Consider the following 20,462-nt stretch of genomic DNA (forward strand, 5'->3'; position numbering starts at 1 on the left):
TGGGAAACAGAGCGAAACTCCGTCTCAAAAAAAAAAAAAAAAAGTGGAAGTCAGTATTTTTACTAATAGTTACTAATAGTAATGAAGCCTGTTTTGTTACTAGTTGTAATGTTACTAATAATTAGTAATATTATTAGTAAAGTAGAAGTCTGTTTCATCAACTTCAGTTATTCAGTTATTCCTCCAACTCCAAACTTTGTCCGTGTTCTTTGGGAAATTCCTAGCTCTTTTTCTATCTTGATCTGTGGGCAAAACTGTCTACAGAAGGGTTAGACTTCAGAGCAACACTAATATAAGAGCATCCAATATAACCCAACTGGGTTTTCTTTGTACAGAACCCTCTAAATTAGGACCAGACTTCCAGTATAACAAATTGCTCTTTGAAAGACATGGCTAGGCATGACTAAATTATTTATTCTTATTAGAATAATAAATAGCATAAATTGTGCTGGAAGATGTAGCAAGAATGAGATTCCTGGGTGCTGAGGGGGCACTGGGGAGCTTTAGTGGGTTGCCTCAAGCAAGAATGAGATTCCTGGGTGCTGAGGGGTCACTGGGGAGCTTTAGTGGGTTGCCTGAAGACCCACCCACCTCACCACCACTTTGGCTTTAGTCATAGCGTTTATCCTTTCAACTGCTTTACATTTGGGGATCTCATGTTTAGATAATTTGGGAAAAAACGGATGCAAATAAACATTGAAAACTACTATCATAGAGGGAAGACCATAGATTTTGCTCATAAAGAGACCTCTTCAATATTCCACTTTCTAGTTATAACTTGATAATTACTTTTTAAAAACCAGCTTAGAGGCTGTGTTTCCTCATTTGTAAAACGGTGGTGTCTATCACATCAGGTTGGTGTGAGAAGGGGGCAAAGACTCCTCCACACAAGATATAAGCCATCCCTTTCCTCTCTTACGTTTATGGCTGAAATAGCTAATTTTTCCTGAGAATGGAAGTAGCCCGAGAATCTTTCCAGCACTATTCTCCAAGACAACAGAAATAGCACATGAATTGAAACACATTTACTCTCCCTTTCTTACAGTGGCAAAACCTTAAACCAGAAGGCGAAGTATGGAACAAGTGTTTAAATTGAATGACTCTTAGAAGTGTAGAAAATGGTTGTGTCATGTGACCACAAGCAGTTTAGCTTAAGGTAGCAGTTAATAAAAATCATTTCAATAGGAATTTATTAATAAAATAATGGCTAATAATAACTAACTGTATTGAGTGCCTACTATGTGTCAGGCAATGTGCTGTTCACCTCCCATGAATTAGTTCATTGAATCCTCTCAACAATCCTTTGAATGAAAGAGAGATCTAATCACAGAATTGCAGACTCTGAGGATCCTATTTTAGAATGGCCTTGTTGTATTTGTGATTATTTTTAGAAATAAAAATGTAGCTTTGGTATTTATATATTAAGTTTATTTTAGGAAATTTGTTCTGACAAGGGGATAAATTATGAAGAAACAGTAGACTCTTGGTATTAGTGAATTTAACATTTGATATTTTAGCCTTTGAAAGTAATATTTGTAAGTGATGTTGTAGGCCCATTATGTAAAATAATTTTTAATTGTGTTGAGTTACTATTTTGAATTTTGTGTGCTCAGAGCCTGGTGTCTGAAGTGCCACACATAGACAAGGAGCTCAGAAAGCTGCATAGCACTAACATTTCATTCCAGCTTTGTTGTTCTTTGCTTGTAGTCACAAATATATTTCATGAGAAAACCATATGGCTATTCAAGAATATGGTCATTCACAAGTGTCTTGGGTCATAGCAGGAGTTGATATTCACCTAGTGTGCACTGGTACAGCAGTTGTGGTTATTGAAAATATTGAAATATGTTTGTACTCATTAAGATATTGAAATAATTGGTCCAGGTATGGTGGCTTATGCCTGTAATCCCAGCACTTTGGGAGGCCGAGGTGGGTGGATCACTTGAGTTAGGAGTTTGTGACCAGCCTGACCAACATGGTGAAACCCCATCTCTACTAAAAATACAAAAATTAGCCAGGCGTGGTGACATGCACCTGTAATCCCAGCTTCTTGGGAGGCTGAGGCAGGAGAATCACTTGAACCTGGGAGGAGGAGGTTGCAGTGAGCTGCTGAGGTCGCACCACTGCACTCCAGCCTGGGTAACAGAGTGAGACTCCGTCTCAAAAAAAAAAAAAGAGATGTTGAAATAATTTATACGGTTGGTAAATAGCCATTGCCCAAGATGGATTAATATCTCTTTTCTTCTATGTCAACTCTAACCTATAAATTTTGCCAGATACAATGCAGGATGCCCACTTACATTTAAATATCAGATAAATTATAAATAATTTTCTAGCTTAAGTATGTCTCATACAATATTTAGTACATACTTAAACAAAAATTATTTGTGGTCTATCTGAAATTCAAATTTAACTGAGCGTCCTGTATTTTTATTTGCAAAATCTGACAACTCTACTTTACTAGGAACTCAGATCTATTTACAATCTAGCAGTAATGAGTAAAGGGCTGGACTCAGGGTCCCTGCAGGTCCTTACTGTAGGACCTTGGCCAGCCCAGCATTTATTCTGACTTGATGCACTTGTTGTACAAGTCATTAAATATTTTTAGCATATTTAATGTCATAGCAATAGTGAATGACAAGGATCTATCTACATTATATTCTTTCTAGTATTTGATAAGAACTCCACTACTTAGGAATTTTCTCATATTTAGCTTTTAAAGTACACTATTTTTCCATCATTGGGTTTGTTTTTACTCAAAGTTTTTCTTTTTTCTATTTTAATATTACACAAAATTTAAGTGCAGTGCATCCTTTTTTTAAGTCAATTCTTGCACAAAGAAATGACAAAAATCCATCAACAAAGTGACCAAATTGCTGTACATATTCAATCTATCTTTTTGGAAGAGCTTTAAATCTCTACAGTCTTGACAAAATTAATTGTTTGTTTTATTCAGATTGACAACAACTACTTTCTGTGATTCAGTGCCATTAGAAACGAGATATTATATGAGTTTAGCCATCTTGATATAATAGTCAAGTCAAACTATAATTGCAAGTGAATCCTGCTATATACAGAAAATGCCCATTTATATTGTCTTAAAATATCAATATTAGATTGATGTTTTGTAAGTATCAATTAGATCCTAATGTTTGAATACCAAAGTACATCCCACAGGTTACTAATTATGAGAGAATTATATTATTGACTCGATAAAAATTCTCATAATTATATGTGCTGAAGCAATCATGGGTTAAACTCAGTTTATCAGGTTTCTTTTAGGTTGAATATTTTTGAGGCTTTAATATGTGCAATTATAAATCTTTGGAGAAAAGCTATATGTATGTGTCAATATGTTAAGCATGTTTGTCTGAGTATGTGTTTGTGTGTGTGTGTATCCACATTTCCTGAGCTTATTTTATCAATTATTCCCTTCACAAAGCCAGGGTTTCAAACACTGCTGCAAATTCCTTTTTTGCAAGTCGGAAGCTTAGTATCAATTTACTTATTTTCTCTTTGTATTCATTCTGTAATGGCACCTAATCTCCCCTAAACTGATGGATGCCACTAGAGGACACCAGTAAAGGTTATATGCTCAGAAAAGCAAACAGAAATGCATGTAAATGATTTTAAAAGTATTACTCTCAACACACTATCGGGCTATTTTCATTCTATTATCAGAGATACTTTACCTTTGCTTGAGATAGAAAGGTTGATAGCTACTGTGGGAAGCTAAATAGACTTACAGAAATGTCTCTAAATTTCTGTGTTTGTTTTCTTAAAGATAAAATGAGGATAATGATGCTCGAATTAAGTCTTTACTGAAAAAGGTGTTTGTATGTGTACTTGTTAGGGTGGGTGAAGATTCTATACAAAAATGCATTTCAAAGTGCTTTGAAAAAAGAAGTATTATTCTAAATGTACAATATAATTAGTAATCTTCAGTTTATAGTGGCTCCTGCACACTTCAGCTGTTAGCTTTCTGATTTTCCAGACTTGCTATTAATATGCTATTCTATAAACAGACATGAAACTGTTAAATGATACTAATGGGAAAGTTAAAGTATTTTCCCTTAATACAAAAAGCCAGCTTCTGAATTATTTGGTTTGTAGACAGATGTTTTCATATGATGGATTTCTTGAAGTTATGTGCCCTTCAACCTAAAATTTACCCACTTTACAAACCAAGCCTGTGGTATAGATGGCCATTGGCGGGGGAATGAAGGAGAATTTCAACTAATTACTTTCCTGGGTGTAATGTGTATTAATGGTAGGTGAATTCAAGTGTATAGCCATATTATGCCAATATTGCTTTATGACCACTCACAGTTCAGAAAGACCGGGAGGCTGATTGAGTTGTTCATGCTAACACATCCTCTGTTTTCTCTTGTTCCCCTGCCACCTTATACAGAGAGTACAGCATCCACATGAGTGTCCCTCTTGTGGAGGCTTTGGCTTTCTTCCATGCTCCGTGTGCCATGGGAGCAAGATGTCCATGTTTCGAAACTGCTTCACAGACTCTTTCAAAGCCCTGAAGTGTACGGCTTGCAATGAAAATGGTCTTCAGCGTTGTAAGAACTGTGCTGGTTAATTGGAGCTTCTACCCAGGAAAAACCTCATTTTATTAATCAAAGGCAATACTTTGGTTTATATATATATTTTTAAATGGTTATGTTTATGGATTAATCAATAAACTTTGTTTATTATAATTGTCTTTGTGGTGAATTTTTGCTGCAATCATTTTCATTGATGTATTAAATAAATGTTTATTTAACAACTACTATGTGCCAAGCCCTGTGCTAGACCCTGGTTTCTAATTGGAATTAATGGAGTACCCCAAACCATTCCAAGATATCTAAAGTCTGATTCCCTTAATGTGTTTGCTCGTCTAAAGAAAATAACAAAATCTAGATAATGGTGCCTATTGCAACCTCACCCTATTGACTAGGATGAGTTAATGCAACTACCTAGAAGCAGAACATATTCCTAGGCATTCTACAAGGAAGAAGAGAGCTCTGGATAGTGGAAAAAATATGATCACCTTTATACTTAGGCAGTAATTTTTTTTAAGCTGTAGAATAGTTTCTTTTTTTTTAAGCTGCAGAATAGTCTCAAAGCTGATGATCTTAATGATAAACCATAATGTTATCAGGTGGATTTCTTGGTGTTGATACAAAAGCTACCAGAAGACTTATCTGGACATTTATTTATTTATTTATTTATTTATTTTATCTTTGGGGGTACATGTGAAGGTTTGTTACATAGAATTGCTTCTGCCATTGTCACTTGAAAGCCATTCAAAAAGGTGGCTCTTTATTGTCCTCTTAGCGGGACACCAGAGCACTCTACCGTTTGAACACATTCTAGGTAAGAATGTGCAAAAAAAGAAAATTTGCTGCAATTATTGGCTGATGACTACCTATATACATGTCTGTACTCGGATGGATTTGCTTATCAATGATTTTTAGAAATTGCCTTCACAGTATTTGTGATAAGGTAATCAAAATATTTTGCTCCTTGGTTTTCTGAAAAGCAACAAATATTTACAGAGTACTTTTTAATTAGCTAGGCCCAGTGTAAGGGATGGTTTCTGCTTTCATGGAGCTTACACTTTAAGAAGTAAGGAGTATTCAACAAATAAATATGAGCCGATGAGTCCTATAATACTACAAAAGGGCCAGGCGTAGTGGCTCACACCTGTAATCGCAGCACTTTGGGAGGCAGAGGCGGGTAGATCATAAGGTCAGGATATCAAGACCATCCTGGCTAACACAGTGAAACCCCATCTCTACTAAAAATACAAAAAATTAGCCGGGCGTGGTGGCAGCGCCTGTAGTCTCCGCTACTCGGGAGGCTAAGGCAGGAGAATTGGTTGAACCTGGGAAGCAGAGGCTGCAGTGAGTCAAGATCGCACCACTGCACTCCAGCCTGGGTGACAGAGCGAGACTCTGTCTCAAACAAAACAAAACAAAACAAAAACCACACAAAAAAACTACAAAAGGAGTACAATGTGCTATGGGAAAGTATCACAGGAGGACCAACCTACATGAGGTAGAAAATGATTAGAAAGACTTTGCCGAGCAACTGATATTTTAACTGAGACATGAGGGAAATTGGAAACTAGTTAGTCAACAAGCAAGAGGATAGTGCTTCAGGTAGAGAAATAGCATATGTGGTGACCCGAGGTCAGAGGAAAGGTGTGTAGTTGAAGAACTGTAACAAATCCAATGTAGGAGTGGGTGTCTCATAATAGTGGAGCAGTTTATAGCAGAATAAACCTCCTGCTAATAACGCATATACACTGAACAAAATAATAAAAAACAAACACAATTGTTGAAGTACTAGAAAACAACCCCAAATGAAAAGAAACAGGAGAGGATTCATTCACTGAAAGATTGGAAACACAATGAACCTCACATTTATCCAGCATTTCCTCTGCAGGTACTTTCCAGTTTTCATAGAATATGCCTCATAAAGAAACTGTAGTCTTACTGGGTGAAAAAGATAGAGGTTGGAATCTGGAGCTGCCAGAGTGTCTGGAAGTGAGGGGAAATTTCCAAGAAATGAGGGGACCAAACATAAGGGGGCCCCAACATCTGCTCATTAATTTCACCCAAATCCTGGGCTGATTCCTAACCTACACAGGCAGAGGAAAGTTATAGCCAAGGGACCAGAAAGTTGAGCAGAGAGATCGGCTGCTGCCGGTAGAATTCCTGTAACCAAACCTCCATGGTTTTATGGTATCTTTTAGTATTTGACTAAATGCTAGAGCAAAACTCAACATGCAAATTCGGTATAGAAAGGAACTCTTTGAATATGAAATGCTAGAGCTAATATCATACATAATGGTAAAATATTGGATGCCTTCTCCCCAAGATCAGAAACAGTGAATGAATATTCATTTTCATCACATCTATTCAATATTGTGATGGAGGTCCTAGCTAGACAAATAAAGCAAGGAAAAAAGTCATAAAAATTGGAAAAAATAAAGCTCACTATTTGTATACAATGTAATTGGGATGTAGAAAATCTAAAAAAATTTATAAGCAACTGAACTAAAAACTGAAATTAGCAAAATTATTGGATTCAAGGACATTATATGAAATTTGAAATGCAATATATAAGAAACACACAATTAAATATAAAATTTCCAATTTAATATCCAGTTGGATGTTGAATGTCCAATTTAAAGCACTATCAGAAAACAAAATACATGGAATACATTTTTCCAAAGGTGGGTAAGACTTCAACATCAAAAACTAAAATGCAGATTTTGCTGAGAAATTATAGGAGACCCTAATACATGGAGAAATATATAATGTTTATGGAATGAGAGACTTCACATTTTAAAGGTCTGTATATTTGCAATGCAATCTCGATTAAAACCTCACCAGATTCTTAGTAGAATTTGATGAATAAATCTAATTTTATATAAAAATGCATATAACCTAGATATTTTTGAACAAGTAGAGTAAAATAATGAGAGACAAATAGATCAATAGAATGATTAGAAAATATAGAAATAGACACACACATTAAGATCAACTGATTTTCAAGAAAGATGCCAATTTGAGGCAATGGAGAAGGGAAAGTCTTTTCACAAATAGTGCTGGAACAACTAGATTTCCATGTGGAAAAAATGACTATGACAATGACTACTACTACACTGCTACCACTGCTGCTCCTGGCACCTAGTAGGTAGAGGTCAGGGGTACTGATAAAAATTCTACAAAACACAGTATAACCCTTTGCCTCAAAAAAGGATTATTTAATCCAAAATGTCAGTAGTGCCAAGACTTAGACACCCTGATCTAAATGTTGAAGCTAAATCAAGATAATAGTTTTACAATCTTGGAATAGGTGAAGATGTTTTGGGCAAGTAAGTCAAAAACACCTAACCATAAATTGGACTTTAAGATTAAAATGTTCTCACAAAAGACATGTAAGAAAATGAAAAGGGAAGCCATAACAGGGAGAAAATATTCACAACCTAAATGTCTGCCAGAGGACCAAAATATGTAGAATATGTGAAGAACTCTGAAAAATCAAAAATAAAAAGACACCCTAAAGACAATCTAATGAAGAAATGGGTCACAGGTGCCTGCAAAAGAGGCTATGGCTGGCCAAAAACATTTAGTAAAATATGACATCATTAGTCATTAGAGAAGTGCAAATTAAAACCACAATGTTATATTACTGCACAATATTTAGAATGACTAAAATTTGTTTAAAAAGATTGAAAATACTAAGTGATGGTGTGGAGGTGGAGTAACTAGAACTCTCCTACATTGCTAATGGGAATGTTAAATGGTACGACCACTTGGGAAAACCTCTGATGAGGTAAATATACACCAAACACCAGTTTACTCCTAGTTACTTACTCAATAGAGATAAGAATATATGGCTAGGAGCAGTGGCTCCACACAAATCTCATCTTGTAGCTCCCATAATCCCCATGTGTTGTGGGAGGGATCCAGTGGGAGATAATTGAATCAATGGGAGCAGGTCTTTCTCATGCTGTTCTCATGATAGTGAATGAGTCTCACATGACCTGATGGTTTTAAAAATGGGAGCTTCTCTGCACAAGCTCTCTCTTTGTCTGCTTCCATCCATGTAAGATGTTACTTACTTCTCGTTGCCTTCTGCCATGATTGTGAGGCCTCCTCAGCCATGTGGAACTGTAAGTCCAATAAACTTCTTTCTTTTGTATATTGCCCAGTCTCGGGTATGTCTTTATCATCAGCATGAAAATGGCTAATACAGTAAATTGGTACCAGTAGAGTGTGGCATTGCTGAAAAGATACACGAAAATGTGGAAGTGACTTTGGAACTGGGTAACAGGAAGAGATTGGAACAGTTTGCAGGGCTCAGAATAAGACAGGAGAATGTGGGAAAGTTTGAAACTTCCTAGAAACTTGTAGAAAGTTTTTGACCAATACACTGATAGTGATATGAACAATAAGGTCCAGGTTGAGGTGGTATCAGATGGAGATGAGTAACTTGTTGGAAACTGGAGCAAAAGTGATTCTTGTTATGTTTTAGCAAAGAGACTGGCAGCATTTTGCCCCTGCCCTAGAGATTTGTGGAGCTTTGAACTTGAGATAGATGATTTAGGGTATTTGGTGGATAAAATTTCTATGTAGCATAGCATTCAAGAGGTGATTTTGGTGCTGTTAAAGGCATTCAGTTTTAAAAGGAAAACAGAACATAAAAGTTTAGAAAATTTGCAGCCTGACAGTTAAATAGAAAAGAAAATCTCATTTTCGGAGGAGAAATTCAAGCTGGCTGCAGAAATTTACACAAGTAATGAGAAGTCACATGTTAATCACCAGGATGATGGGGAAAATGTATCCAGGCCATGTCAGAAACCTTTGCAGGCCTGCAGGTTTAGGAGGGAAAAATGGTTTTGTGGGCCAGGTCCAGGGTCTCTTTGCTGTGTGCAGTCTAGAAACTTGGTGTCCTGTGTCCCAGCTGCTCCAGTCATGACTAAAAGCTCAGGCTGTTGCTTCAGAGGGTGGGAGCCCCAAGCCTTGGCAGCTTCTACGTGGTGTTGAACCTACAGGTGCACAGAAGTTAAGAACTGAGGTTTGGGGACCTCTGCCTAGATTTCAGAGGATGTATGGAAGGAGTTTGCTGTAGGGGTGGGGCCCTCATGGAGAACCTCTGCTAGGGCAGTGCAGAAGGAAATGTGGTGTTGGAGCCCCCACACAGAGTCCCTACTGGGGCACTGCCTAGTGGAGCTGTGAGAAGAGGGCCACCATTCTCCAGACCCCAGAATGGCGGATCCGCTGACAGCTTTGCACCATGCACCTGGAAAAGCCACAGACACTCAACACCAGCCTGTGAAGGCAGCCAGGAGGGAGGCTGTACCCTGAAAAGCCACAGGGGTGCAGCTGCCCAAAACCATGGGAACCTACCTCTTGCATCAGTGTGACCTGGATGTGAGACATGGAGTCAAAGAAGATTATTTCGGAGCTTTAAGATTTGACTGACTTGCTGGATTTTGGACTTGCATGGGGCCTGTAGCCCCTTCATTTTGGCCAACTTCTCCCATTTGGAATGGCTGTACTTACCCAATGCCTGTATCCCCATTATATCTAGCAAGTAACTAACTTGCATTTGATTTCACAGGCTCATAGGCAGAAGGGACTTACTTGCCTTGTCTCAGATGAGACTTTGAACTTTGGACTTTTGAGTTAATACTGAAATGAGTTGAGACTTTGCGGTACTGTTGGGAAGGCATGATTGGTTTTGAAATGTGAAGATATGAGATTTTGGAGGGTCCAGGGGCAGAATGATATGGTTTTGCCCTGTGTCCCCACCCAAGTCTCATCTTGTAGGTCACATAATTCCCACACGTTGTAGGAGGGACCCAATGGGGGATGACTGAATCATGCGGGCAGGTCTTTCCCGTTCTGTTCTTGTGATAGTGAATGGGTCTTACGACATCTGACGGTTTTAAAAACAGGTGTTTCTCTGCACAAGCTCTCTCTTTGCCCACTGCCATCCATGTAAGATGTGACTTGCTGCTCCGTGACTCCTGGCATGACCCTGAGGCCTCCCCAGCCATGTGGAACTGTAAGTCCAATAAACCTCTTTCTTTTGTAAATTGCCCAGTCTTGGGTATGTCTTTATCAGCAGGGGGAAAATGGACTATTACAGAGGCAAAGAGTTTCTTATAACAGGGAGAGTTTCTCATCACTGTTCCAACATCGTTGTGAGATTCTAAGTAGAATCTCAAAATTTTCTCACTACTTGAGCCCTGGCTCCGTTTCTGCAAATCCAAACATAGTCTCAATGTCCTCCTTGTCTGAGGTAATAATAATCAGGTTGGAGAATTAGAATAGCACAAGGGAATCTAATTTTTAGGCCCTATCCTAAACCATGGGTTCTGAGGGCAAAAGCTTCTTGACTCTTAATTATATTAAAAAAATTATTTTTATCTTTTATTCCTTTTTTGCATGCATTGCCATGAGATTAAAGGTTGTGTTTTCTGTTGATTATTAGTAAGGCTCTAAGGAAGAACATTATGAAAGAGTAATGAAACTTGAAAAAAATAAACTCAGATACCTCTTAGAATTGCAAAAGTTAATGAGAGTAATAGGCTCAGAACAAGCTTAGAATAGGCTCATTTAAACATAAATTTATGTTAACTTTCTGAGATAACTTGCTTTAGACACTTCACATCTATCTATTTCAGTTTTATGATATATATATGGCAAATAATAATAACTGCTATATTTACCTCACACTGTCATAGTGTGGGATTAATTCAAATATATAGGAAAGTACTTTAAAAAAAGACAAAGCATACTATGAGGCATAGAATAATTTCATAATTAACACAAAAATTATGCATTAGCAACACATCTTTTTATTGGCCAGATTAAAAAAAGAACTAATATTTGTTGAACATTCTTCTGATTGCTAGGTTTTGTAGAAGGTACCTCATTTATTCTTCACAGTATCCCATAATTTCATAGATGAAGAAACTGTGATTCAGAGTGTTAATTACTTCTCTGAAAGTCTGGAAATTTATGTTAATTTGTTGTAGCTTCTGTGTCCATGTGAGTTGCCTTTATGTCTGGTATAAAGTGGGAAAGCAGTCAAGAAAACAATAAACTTGCTCAAAGATAAACCTGACATCAACAATAAAGTTGGAATGAAAAGTCTGTCCTGAGCTTCTATGCTTTTACAACTTCGTACATTCCTCTTGGCAATTCTTAATAGATTTCAAAAGTCAACAATGCTGGTTGTTTGCAAAGGACATATAGTAGTGCAATCAGGGCTGGAGTTTGCTCATAAACTTAAAAAAAAGATTAAGGGAGGGATCTTAAAAAATGACATATACCTAAATAATAGAAATACATATTTATTTTTCTAATCTGTCATAAGGTCTTTTTTAAAAAGATAAATTATTAGCATATTGATTAAAGTTTTATCTGGTCTTTCATGCACAAACCTCACACATGTAAAGAAGCTACTCTGGGCTCCTTCAAAGTGGAGTGAAAATTTAAAGACTCTTTTAGAAAGCAATCAGAATGTAATACCGTTTTGGATTTTTGTGATTATTTCTCCCGAACTTTTACAGTTTCCTTATCCATGACTAATTTGACAGTATTTTTTCTAAGTATTTGACTTAGTTATTTCCAAGGTATCAAAGTTATTTTTCATAGAATAAACAGCTTTCTTTCTTTCCTTAACTATTACATTTAAGATTAATGTTATTAGGTTATACAATTATATGTATAATTATATGTATGTATAATTATAAACACAATTATACAGCTATCAAACTTAGGAAGAAACAAAACTGACTCTTAGGATATTAATTTGTTTACTGGTAGTGGAAGTGTACCAGCAGACAAGAGTGGTTCTCTGGGTCGGAGAACATTCAGGAGACAGGAGCATCAGAAGGAACGTGTCACAGAGGGAATGGGGAAAGTCGACCAACCTTGAAAGTATGTGAAGTCTAAGTTGGCTATGAAAGCTTTAGCTAACTTATGTGGCCATGACAATAACCAAGGGCATCATTAATGATATGCTCAAGGTTATTCATCATTGCCTTTCTGACCTCCCTTCAGGCTCATCGGCAACTGGCATCACTTAGGTACCAGCATTTCTAATGCTGACCATGCTTAATGGGAGGCTCAATCACTTTGGAAGACATGTTGCTCTTTGTGCACCTTCTTCACTTAGAAACAGACAGTCTCATTCAGCATGCTGCAGCAGCAGCAGACTAATGCTTTACTGAAAGTGATTGCAGTGGATTCCTATCAAGAAGCACCTTCTTCCTTGGGCATTCTTTGACAAGCTATAATAATTCTGGACAATAGAGATAAAAATATTTTTCATGTATAAGTATCCATGTCTTGAAGCACAATTCCTCTAGGAAAAGAAGGATTACTTGTTCTGATGGAAACCTTTTTTCTGGTTCTATTTTGAAGTCTTTGAATTCTTCCATTAAACCTAGCACAGAATATATGGAAAAATTTAAAATGTATGATTTGGCGGCAAGGTGACTTTGAATTGGAACAAAGCTTTCATAGAGGAATATAAGATGTCCTAAGAGCATTGGCTATATATAGTAAAACTGGAGCCTACTTTTAATCAATATCTAGAAAATCCATATTGATTCTCTGCAGTGCACATGCCTCATTTAGCATTCTGTGCCCAGAAGTTGTTACCTTTCTCTCTCTATATTTTCTGTGGTCTTAATCCTTTTCTTTGCACCACCTTGTTGGAGGAATATAAATATAAATGTTATCTGAGTACCCAGAATAGAGGTCATCAATCAGTTAGAAAGCAAAATGTTTGCATAATCTAGAAAATGGTGCTATGGTGCAGTGCTGATTTATTGCAGTAAATGAAGTTAAAACCAATGGAAAACAGTAATCTTTTAATTTTTGCTCTTCTGAATTGCTGGTTGCTTTCATTCCTATTTTGAACATTTCATTGGATGAATAAAGACATTGTGAAACTTGAAGACCCTAGAAGAAGCACTGGTACAAAATCTAAGGTGCTGTTTCCTGGAATACCGGATGCCACTTTATTGCTGTGAAGTTTACATGTATGCTTTGACCTTTAAATGTCTGTTCTGAGTTACTTGTCTGCTGTAGATTTTACCTAGAGACAGAATTGTCAATATATTTTCCATTACATTTTTGTATTCTGGGAAGGAAATATCATAGCATGCTTTATTTTTAGTAAAAAGAAATACAAACTGTTTTTTAGAATATTCTTCCCTAAGGTAAAACTGCTACAATCTTTGTATTTTTTCAGTAGTTGCTGTACATTCTTTTGCTGTTATAAATATGTGAACAGCTACCAGTAGCTCTAATCCCCACCCCATGTGTGCTTCTTCCCATTTTCCTCTCTTTCCGTTTGCAAAAAATAGGAACTGGGGACAAATTTTGAGTCTATTTATGAGGTAGGAGTACTTTTGTCTCTAAATTAAATATTTGAATTTGTTAGTAATGTTACGGTGATAAGTAATTATAGAAAACTCCCAGAGTTTCTGGAATCATTACTAGCCATGACGTTCAGTTCAAAAATATATTAGGCATTGTGAGGGAGATGAATATACATAATCTGACATGGTTTTGGCCCTATCATGATTGGGAAGATAAGTCATCTTAAAGATAACTAGAACACAAACTGTATTATGCCGGTTATTGATTATTAGATGACAGCTGGAGACTATAAATATTAGAGGATGCTCAAAGGAGCAGAATATATAAACATGAGAGCCTTTGTTGGTGAAATTCGCTTAAAGGAGTGTATTTGATAACAGCTAGGATTTCTACAGCAAAGATATGGGTGGAAAGTCATAGCTCAGCTATGGAATCAGGCAGGTGGAAAACAAAATGCTTAGCGCAAAGTACTTAGCCTGGAAGAGGGCAAGCATTCACTGCATGCTTCAAATGTTCCCAAAGGTGACGGTAATAGGTAGTGTATCACTGTGGTTAGGCTCTGGATCCTGACTTTCTGGTTTTCAATCCCAGTTCTGCCATTTACTAGCTGTATGTTTTTAAGTAAGTAACTTATACTTTCTGTGCCTCAGTTTTCTTATTGTTAATGAAAATAATACTAGTATCTAATTAAATGGCTTTCTTTGGTGATTAGGTTATTATGGATGAAGTCTTTAATTCAATACCCACCACATATGAGTAGAGATAATCTAGGCCTAGATAGTGACAAGCTTTGAAGGTGCTGGCTTTTATATTTATCCTGTAGGCAATCAAGGCATTTTCAGTCAAGGTATTTATTCCATGAGATGTTGGTTTAGAAAAAGAAAGTAATTATATATTAAAGGAATTGAGGGGTCTGGGAAAAAATAAGTTGAGATTTGGGGTGCAATATATACTCTTAACCAATGACAATATATGGCACTATTTTTGCATCGTCAGAATACTTGAGTCTGGGAACCAAAAGTTAAAAATGGGAATGGATCCTCTAAATATTACTGTTAATATTTTGCTCAACATATTTTTGTTTCCCACCCCCATTATATCAGACTATTGATATAGCTATCTTAGTATTCAAAAGAAAAGTTCTTCTAATAAGGCAAAAGCAATGGTTCTGTTGACAATGGTTCTTTCACAAGGCCATTTTTAGTTTCAGATGCTATCAATCACACAGAAAAAAAAGCTACTGTTTGGCTGAATGATTGATCCTATTTATCAATGGAACATGTATTGCTGGTAAACAATGTGTGCAGGAAGAAGGATGTCTAGAACCCAGACTCTTTCTTAGACACCACCTAGTGCTACCACATCTGGAGATAAAAGCTAATGGGAGATTACAGTACTGCAGCAAAAGCAGGACAACCAGAAGGTAAGAGCTTCTAGAAGGAAAGTTTTAGATTTTAGATTATCCTACTAGGAGAAGAGCCCATTCCACTGAGGTGCAGGCTTAACATGGAAAACATAAAAAAAGAAGTTTATAAATACAAACCAAATATGATGATCAGGTGTGGAAATACAGATGAGAATACTTATCCGTATTATAACTTTATCTATTATCTCAACGTATATAAGTATCAACCAATATCCCTACTTTTCCCCTCTCACTTTCCCCTATTTGTTTTACAGAATATGGAGTTGGTAAGTAACTTGATAATTGAGTCCATATTTAACTGTAAATTCCAATCAAATCCCCATTAATTATTGTCAGCCATTGTCTCTATCTCTGGGTCAGCTTCATCCTTCTGTAGTTCAGTCACAATTTCATTTTGAATCCAGGGAAAATCTGGGTTAAAATGAAAGATTTATGGTTTTTTACTGTTGAGGGAGATATTTTCAGCACAGCATATAGCTGATGAGAACATTTTTTAAACACTGGTATAGCGTTGTGCTTTGGAGAATACTGTCTGGGGATTGGAGTATAAGCTAAAAATAGGTATACATTTGGTTCCTTTTTTTTTCTGGCTTGGACAGGAATCTGGAATAGCAAGTGTAACCTAGTAGGAAGTAACAAGCATCAGTTATCAAACTGTACAGGATGTGTCTTCAACAGTGACCTCATGTTGTGGCAAAAAATATGCCACTAGTGGAATGATCATATACTAGTTCAGGGAAGCAGGATCCTCTCAGGATTGTGAAAAATCTATGTGACTGAAGAAACCCTTACATGTGAGAGATTTACTCCCTGCTAATAAGAAAAATGGAGATTTGAGCAATTGATTGGATAAACCAAAATAATGTTATAGAAGGCATATGCATAACATTTTCTTTGCATATCTGAGAAATAGGAGTAATTTTTGATGCATAAAATTACTTATTTCTGAATATTAAACTAAAACATCATCATCGTATCTTTTTTCTTGTAAAATAAAGAAATACAGAAAAAAGAAAACCCAAACCCAGCACAAATGCAGTCCTTGAAATTATTTCCTTCAGGACATGATATGGTCTGGATGTTTCTCCCCTCCAAATCTCATGTTGAAATGTGACCTCTAATGTTGGAGGTGGGGCCTAGTGGAAGGTATTGAACCATGCAGCACATCCCTCATGAATGGCTTGGTGCTCTTCCCATGGTAACAAGTGAGTTCTCACTCTGTTCATTCACATGAGAGCTGGTTGTTTAAAGAGCCTGGCTCCTCCTCCTGTCTCTCTCTCACTTCTGCTCCCACCATGTGTTTGTTGTACCTGCTCCTGCTTGGCCTTTCGCCATGATTGTAAGTTTCCTGAGGCTCTTGCTGAAGCAGATCCTGACACCATGCTTCCTGTATAGCCTGCAGAACTGTAAGCAATTAAATATTTTCTTGATAAATAACCAAGTCTCACGTATTTCTTTATTGTGATGCAAAAACAGACTGACACCAGACATTTGCCTACATTTGCATGAGCAGTATAAATTTGGATCATTCTGTAAATATATTTCTTCTTACTTATTTTTATTCTTCAAATCAAGAAACAGACCATCTCTTCTTCAACACTTTTTTAAGTGTGGCTCAAATGTCGTCTTAGCCAGAGAGCTTCTTGTAGTCTATATTTAGTTGTTTATCGTGGCAGGGATAAACATTCACTGCCTTATCCTTCAATACTAGAACAATAACAGTTATGCAATAAAAACTCATTAAATATTTGTTGAATAAATTTATTCAAATGTTTATATAATTCAATAAAACTTTATTATTGATGTAGGTAATTCAAATATTTTGTTAATATATTGCTATGTAGTCTGCTTTTTTGGATATTGTTATTATGGTAGAATTAATTTTATGTGTCCTATTCCTTTCTTTTGTTAAAGTTATTATGGTGAATAATTTTGTTTTCCAAATGTATTTCTGAGTGATTTATAGATAGTTTGCTTTTGAAAAGTTGATTTGTAAAATTACTTTGTATCTGACCAATTTTCGCAATTCTTAGTGGTAATTCTAAAAATAATATTCTAAAATAGTTATTTAATATCTAAAAATATACTGAACTTTGTAGATATGTACTAGTATATTGGATGTTGAAAATGATTGACTGGTAAGCTCACAGAGTCTTCTGAATAGATTATAACCTTCTTGCTGATATTAATACAGGTTGAATTTCTCTTATCTGAAACGTTTGGGAACAGAAGTGTTTTGAAATTTAATTTTTTGATTTTGGAATATTTGCCCATACATAATGAGATATCTCGGGGATGAGACCCGTATCTAAACACTAAATTCATTTATATTTTATATATACCTTATACATATAGCGTAGAGCTAATTTTATACAATATTTTAAATAATTTTCTGTATGAAGCAAAGTTTTGACTGCATTTTTACTATGACCTGTCACATGAGGTTAGGTGATGGGATTCTTCACTTGTGGCATCATGTTCTTATTAAAAAATTTTCAGATTTTGAAGCACTTTGGATTTCAGATTCAGATTGCAAATGGTCAGCTGGTAATATTTTTTAACCTTTATATCAGAAATGACAAGCATGATACTTGACTCATGCTGTATTTCTGACTAAGATTTGCTGAATGCCTATTTGATTGCCCACACGACTCTACATCTCCTGCTACCCAAATCCTATCAAGTATGGAAATATAACACAAGAAAGAAGAGACATGGGATCTGGCTCTGACAACTGGTTGAAGTCTGTAAGCCGATAATTTCCATATTTTTGGTCCCATTCAAATCCTCCTATAGAGTAGGTGGAGGAGAAAGAGTAAATATAGAAGTTAGTTACCTCATATGTGGCCTTGCTGTGCAAATAACTATATTTGTTGTCAGATTGAGGAACTTCAGGCTCCTGTTCTCCCTTTATTCTCCCCAGTTCCATTCTGAGCAGTGTTTAGTGACTTAGAAAGAGCAATATAAACTATACTCATGAAGTCAGCAGCGTTTATCTATCTTTGCATTCAAGTGCAGTCACCCCTCAATAGGTATAGTGGCCAGGAAATCCACTGTAAAATATATATTGTGTTTGAATCCTTTTCAAAGATTTTTCACAGGATAGGTTGGTAGCGGTGACAATGCTTCTCAAGATCTACTACTGAGTGCAATGTATTAAAGGAATCTTTTAACCACTCAAACTACACCCATTGATGCATTCAATATAAGAAAGAAGTTGATTCAAGGCTGCAATCTTCTAACCCTCTTAAAGCCCTTGGCTAAACTCCACTTTCTTTGTACTTCAGAATAGCTGAAATCTCTGCCAATAATGTTTGGTATATATTACCTTCCTCAGAACAACATAAATATTTTATAGCCTGGAGTGCAGCTATAACAACATGAATTAAAAAGTGCAAAAGAGTTATTCACTCTTAAATTTTACTTCTTGAATGGAAAAATTATTACTTTTCTTTTTTTTAATTATACTTTAAGTTTTAGGGTACATGTGCACAACGTGCAGGTTAGTTACATATGTATACATGTGCCATGTTGGTGTGCAGCACCCAGCAACTCGTCATTTAACATTAGGTATATCTCCTAATGCTATCCCTCCCCCCCTCCCCCCACTTTTCTAAGTAGAGATAGAAAAATCCCTATTCAGACTATAAATGAAAGATTTTTCTGACATTACCTAGAATTTCCCACATAAGGGCATAAGTTGACAACTGAGCTTTTGTTGTTCCTTAGAGAGAATTCTCCCTGTTGTTTGCCAGCTCATTCCTGATTCCTGGTACGGAAAAAAACAGAATGTACGTTCTAAACCGCACTGAGATGCTAAAAGGGGGCATATGGATGCAACTCATTGGAATACTCATCTGGGAAAATTATTTAAAAATTATAGAACAGAATTAGAAGCACTTAGATTATAAAACAAAAGAAACAATCTCCAAGACCTTTGTATATATGCTTTAAGTAGCATCAGAAGTAAAATTTTGACACATATCTTGCAGTTTCTGATACCCTGGGCGACTTCTTTGTACTCAAACATATTGACCAGTATTCTAGCTCCTCCATTTTTCTCTCCAGGTGTTGGAAATGCCCTTTAGAATTCTCACCTTCTGACATGCTCAAAATTGGCATGCGATAAACATATAATAAATACAAAGTTGAATTTTAGAATATCGAAATCATCTTTGGAGTTTATTGCTGCTTAAGGGTGTTAATATTTTTCTCACTAGTTCTAAGTACACTGTGATGCTTGCCTTATACCAGCAATCTTTCAATCTGAAATCCAGGGAGATAGTGCAGATAATACAGAAGATACTCAAAAAACAAACAAACAAAAAATAAAGAATAAAAAACATTTACTGTTATTTGAATTAATTAGACACATCTTAAAAATAAAGAAATGAAATGTTATTCCTTTGTGTATCTTCTAATATCTAGCTGTCCTTACTAAGGAAAAGTGATATAGGATTCAAGTATTACTTGGTAGATTGTATTAGTGTTGACATTTGATCTGGAGAAACTAGACAACTTTAAAAGAGGCCTTAAACTGTGTTATTTAGTAATTTTTATGAGTGAAATTATTGTAGGGATAACGATCCAGTGAAAAAAATATATAAGGGAGAAATCCACATGAATAAATATTCTCCCCCTCCATATAATTTCACTGACTGAATTGGTATAATATTGCTCCAAATAATTATCCCAATTCTCCCTTGCTTATCAGTCTTAACACAAAGGACACTAGTATTTCTAGATTTGTGTGTGTATGTGTGTGTGTTGCGGGTGGGGGCTGCCGCATAGATTATGAGCTAAAACATAGAATGAGAGACTTGACAGTCTGAGATCTGAACAAAAATCACGATTAGGTAATTTTGCCAGGGAAATTGATGGCAAGTTTTTAGCAAGATAGGCTTTCTTTTAAAATTCTTGTTGCTTCTTGTATACAGCCTGAGAGGGATGACACTAGCTCTTCTTAAAGGACTCTCAGTTTTGCTAACTTTTTTTCTGAGCAGTAACAGCCTCCTGCAATCATCCCGCATTGCTCTGAATTTTTGCTGTTTCCTCTACTTTGAAGATTAGTTCAGAGGATGGGTACAGAAATCTTACATTTTCCTGCATGTTTTCTCCCTCCT

General features: G+C 36.1%; 1 protein-coding gene across 1 annotated transcript in view; it reads left to right on the plus strand.

Moving 5' to 3' along the window:
- The window catches only part of GRXCR1 (glutaredoxin and cysteine rich domain containing 1), a 137,946-nt gene extending 133,237 nt beyond the window's left edge, over window positions 1–4,709 (plus strand). The window contains exon 4 of the mRNA NM_001080476.3: window positions 4,412–4,709. Coding sequence (NP_001073945.1) covers window positions 4,412–4,591 — 180 coding nt within the window. The 3' untranslated portion in view covers window positions 4,592–4,709. The remainder of the gene's footprint in view (window positions 1–4,411) is intronic.

Source organism: Homo sapiens, chromosome 4, assembly GCF_000001405.40.
Source record: "Homo sapiens chromosome 4, GRCh38.p14 Primary Assembly".
In the NCBI taxonomy this organism is placed as follows: domain Eukaryota; kingdom Metazoa; phylum Chordata; class Mammalia; order Primates; family Hominidae; genus Homo; species Homo sapiens.